The sequence below is a fragment of the Homo sapiens genome, chromosome 7, assembly GCF_000001405.40.
Source record: "Homo sapiens chromosome 7, GRCh38.p14 Primary Assembly".
NCBI lineage: Eukaryota > Metazoa > Chordata > Mammalia > Primates > Hominidae > Homo > Homo sapiens.
Window position 1 is genome coordinate 20,240,243 of NC_000007.14, and position 5,253 is coordinate 20,245,495.

Genomic DNA, 5,253 nt, shown 5'->3' on the forward strand with positions numbered 1-5,253 from the left:
GGTTTTGGTTGAAAGCCAGAGCCAGATATAGCATGCAATTTACTATCATAAAATGTGTTAAATGATTACAGGAAGGAAAAAAGAAATACTACAGAAGCGCTACTAAAGCAGACATTAGCTCTTTAATTTCTGTTCTGGCCCACTAAATCAGCACTTGCCATATTGGTTGAGTGAGTGAATATGTGATCACAGAAGTGTCTGCAAATGTGAGTAATTTCACCCAGCGTTAGCAGCCACAGGAGACAGAAGAAGCAGCAGGACCAGAAAGCCATGGCTAATTAAGCCCACGTATCCACCAACCACAAGTACCCTTTCGATTTGGTTGATACTTGTAAGGCTTTTCCCTGGTCTTTCCAAAACATGCCCTACAAATGCTTTACTAATTCTTATCTAAGAAACTCCTGCAGTGAAAAAATTATCTAATTTTCTCCAAAGTTTCTTTTTGTATCAACCTGTGCTTATGTTCAACAGCTTCTCTGTTATGCTCATGGGGATCACCCTCAAGAAGAGGAGACAGATATTTGGAAAAGCCATGGTCTTTTTACCACACTGAACTACTTTCCTTCGGATCATGGCCAATGACCAGCCTCCGACATTTCATCCTTCATACCTTGCAGCTCATTTTTTTCCACATTTCACTTCGAACCCAATCCACAGTTTGTCTCATACAGATGGCTTGTGTTTAAGAGTCGAGACCCTAAATCTAATTGCTAGGGTCCGTGCCTGACTCTCTTGATTACATACGTGACCTTGAGCAAGGTATTTCACCTCTTCAGGACTCCTACCCATAACATAAACATAATAACGTTTGAGTCATAGGGTTTTTGTCTTCATTAAATGCAATAATTTTATGTAAAGTACTTAGCCTACTGCCTGGAACATAGTAAGAGCCTGATATTACTGGTTATTACAGCTATTAGCACTGTTGACTTTATATTTGTTTTTTTAATTGTAGAGAGAAACCCTCAGATATTTCAAACAAGTAGGGGAGGAAAAAGAAAACACTTTCTTTTTGCCTCAAGGCCATTCAGGAGCTCTAAATGCCATTATTATTGTTTCCTGAGAGAAGAGGGTGAGAGGAAGCATAAGATTCTTCCTTCTTCTCTACAACACACTAGAATTCCCCAGGAGTGGAAAAACCTTTACAGTTGTACTGAGAATCCAGTGTGTTTTCTCCTTTGCTGTCTTTCTATTGTATTTTTTTTTTCTTTATCTACTGGCTTTTCAAAGAATTTTTCATCAACACTTAAATATGTTAACAATGTTAGATGACAATGTCATTGAAATACATTAGAGTGAAAATGACAACACTCATAATGAAAAGCAATGAATCTCTATTTAAAATGGCATTTTAACAATGCATCGAGAAAGCCATTATCATACCAATCTTACCAACACATTGTGTGTGTACGTGTCTGTGCACGCATGAGTGCAAATATACTGAATGAAGTCCAAAGTACTGCAGATAAAAGCATACTTTTTGTTCATACTTTCCTGCTGTGGTTTGAATTTGTTCCCACCAAAACTCATGTTGAAATGTGATCCCCAGTGTGGTTGGTGTTGGGAAGTGGGGCCTAGTGGGAGGTGTTTGGATCATGGAGGTGGGTCCCTCATGAAGGGCTTGGTGTTGTTCCTCAGCAGTAAATGACTTGAGAAACAACACCAAGCTGGTGTTGGGAGACTCAATATCTGAATACTGGATTATTTCTTGCAGGAATATTTCTGCATGAGTTGATTGTTAAACAGCCCGGACACCACTCAGGTTTTGCCTCTTCACATATGTCCACTTCCTCTTTGACGTTTTCTGCCATGTTTGACTCACCATGAAAAGCCCTTGCCAGATGCCAAGCAGGTGTCAGTGCCTTGCTTCTTGTACTTTTCAGCCTTCAGAACCATGAGCTAAATAGACCTCTTTCCTTTATAAATTACTCAGCCTCTGGTATTCTGTTATAGCAACACTAAATGGACAAAGACTCTCTCAAAATGTCTCAAACCCATCTTCATTTGAAAAAGTTATACAGCAGGACAATGCATTCATGAAGTAATTTCCAAAATATTCTATCTCCCTGCCCTGCTTTGAATACCTATTACTATATTATAGATTTGTCAACTTATTGATTGCCTGTATCCCTTACTAGAATTTAAGCCTTGTGAAGCAAGGAATTTGTCCATCTTGCTTTTAGCTATATCTCCAGCCCATAGTCAGTTCTTAATACATATTTGTGGAATGAATGAATTTCCCTTAAAACCTATGGAAATACTGAGGCAACACATATATATTTATATGCACAATGCAAACTAGAAAAATCACTAGCTGAATTCAGCATAAGCAACAGTGTAGTGTGGTATAAATATTAGCCTGGAAATCTGAGTTCCAGATTTGGTTCTGCCATCAAACATGAAGTTTAGGCAAAGACAATATGACTTTTATATATATCAAATGACATGGATGATATATCATGTGATATATGTACAAATATATACATACTTATATTTATATACATATTTAATATATATAATATATTATGTGTAATAATATATTTATACATATATGTACATAAATATATACATATTTATATTTATATATTATACATATAAGTATAAGGCAAGCCTATGCTTTGCTGGTCTTGACTTAGTTTACTAAAGAATAATACCTGCTTGCTGCCCATTATCAGATGCAGGTTGTTTGTTTTGGGGATGGGACAATGAGGGGATGGGAAGGAGATTAGTAGTAGGGGGAGATGGTCAGTATCTTTAAACAAATCTTTACACCCAACAAATTATTGGTGCTGAGCAGGGAAGAGGACAGGATAAGCACTAGGATAACTTTCTTATTCTATTACTACCTACAAAAAAATGAGTTTCCTCTTCTGATGATTCTCTGTTCTACAAAATAAAACTGATAAGAACTCAAAGCAGAATCTAATCGAAACTGTAGAGCATAATAAAGCTGTTTATAGTACAGGTATTTCAAAATCTCAGTTATTAATTTGTAATTTAAAGGGTTGTGAATTTAGGATTTTTTTTTTTTTTGAGACGGAGTCTTGCTCTGTCGCCCAGTCTGGAGTGCGGTGGCGCAATCTCGGCTCACTGCAAGCTCCGCCTCCTGGGTTCAAGCCATTCTCCTGCCTCAGCCTCCCAAGTAGCTGGGACTACAGGTGCTCACAATGCCCGGCTAATTTTTTTATATTTTTAATAGAGACGGGGTTTCACCGTATTAACCAGGATGGTCTCGATCTCTTGACCTCGTGATCCGCCCGTCTCGGCCTCCCAAAGTGCTGGGATTACAGGCGTGAGCCACCATGCCTGGCCAAATTTAAGCTTTTTAATTAAAGCTTGTGGGAACATAAAATTAGACATATGCTGCAAATATAAACCTGATTCCTCCTGTTCATTATTCCATCAGTTCAGATTGCAATTTGTTTTAATAATGGTCTTCCTTCACCCAAAAACTCAATGAAAGGTACAAGCTGAAATTTTCATATTTTTTGTTTGCCTAAGAAAAGATTGTAATCATCTTACTCTCATGACAGATTTGTGGCATTATAGTAAGTTTGTGATTAAGTGCTAATGAATTATATTTAGGTGCTTCCTGAATATTTGGAAACCCAACATTATTTAATATGATCTTGAGAGAAATAATGGAAATCAGGTAAGAGATGCATCTTTTAAAATTTCTACACATGATTCCACTGCTAAATCATTGCCATGTATTTTAATGCTTTGAAATAAAATCATAATATAAAATTCCTGATTCAAATAAAAACTATCAAAATGCACATTAGTTTCTGGCCCGAATATATTCTGCTGTAGCACTGACCTTTCTTATAGCATTCTCATATTTGGATGGCAAATCTCTTTCTATGATACACAAATATTGGGCTCTAGCATAATGTTTCAGCAGAAAAGGATGTGATATTTCAAAAAGTCTTCATAACCGCAAAACAAAGAATAAATAAAAAGAGCATAAAATTAAAGGATAACTTTTCATTGAGGGCAAATAAGGCAAAAGAAGGAACTCTTCACTCTGTACTTTCTCTGATACAATAAGAAAACCACATTTGTTTTACTGCTGGAAAAAATAATTTTTTAAAGTGTGATTTCCAGTTAATAGACCTATATATTGTATATATTACATCATGAAGCTCAATTCTAAGAGGCTTCAAAAGCTTAGGAGAGAACTAGAAATGAACTATACACAGTGAAAAGTGAATCATAGTAGTAAATAGATAAGAGCGTGCCACTGGGATAAATAACAAGAAGGTCAGGCTTAAAGTGGTGTCATTGAAAAGCTGGGATATTTTAGCCTATTTTCTTAGATAATATTATCCCCTAGTGACCTTGAGCACTTGCATCAGAGGCAGTATTGCATAGTAGAAAGATTATGGATGGACAGTGGAGCCCTGAGTTCTAAATCAGAATCTGTCCATTTCTAGTTAGAAATCTGGGACAAATTACTTTATCCTGAGATTAATTCTTCTCACTGGCAAAAATGGAGGTAATGCCTCTTGCCTCAAGGTTTCTTGTGAGGATTAAAGGAGAGCATCTGGCACCATACTAGCACATAACCAACGTTCAATAAATATTAGCTTCCCCGTTCCTTTTTCTAAAAATACAAAGCAGTCTGAGAAAAGCTAAGTGTTTTCCATGCTTCTTGCATAAGCATTGAATATGTGAGTTTGGGTTTGGCAGGCATGAACAATCTTTGTCACAGGGGCTTTTGGTTTTTGTTTTGTTTTGTTTTGAAATCATCAACTCAGGGTTTTTTAATGGAAATAATAAAAATAATTACTTTCTAATTCCCAGTCTAATAACTGACAGACACATAAACTACCCCACCAAAACTGATAAAAATTATTTTATTCATATATATAAGGAATATATATGAAATACTAAGGTCCAAAATCTCCTCATAGTTACCTTAATAAAAGGAAGATGTCATGGAATTTTTAGACAGCAAATGAATTCTGGTTATAATTTTGCATCTTATCAGCATCTCTTCTGGGCTGACACTGACTTCAATATGATAACGCATTCAAAAATAACAGCAAAATAGTGAAGGCTTTATGGCTTTATTCTTCCTCTTTTATTTTTTTTGAGACGGAGTCTCACCCTGTTGCCCAGACTAGAGTGCAATGGCGCAATCTCGGCTCACTGCAACCTCTGCCTCCTGGGTTCAAGTGATTTTCCTGCCTCAGCCTCCCGAGTATCTGGGATTGCAGGCACCCGCCACCACACCCGGCTAATTTTTGT

At 36.7% G+C, this 5,253-nt stretch overlaps 1 annotated feature.

Annotated features, from left to right (window-relative positions):
• Positions 1,846–1,935: an enhancer, noted in NCBI's record as "active region_25691". NCBI's record gives its function as "activates an Ori minimal core promoter by ATAC-STARR-seq in GM12878 lymphoblastoid cells {active_cell/tissue: GM12878}" and the evidence as "EXISTENCE:reporter gene assay evidence [ECO:0000049][PMID:35858748]".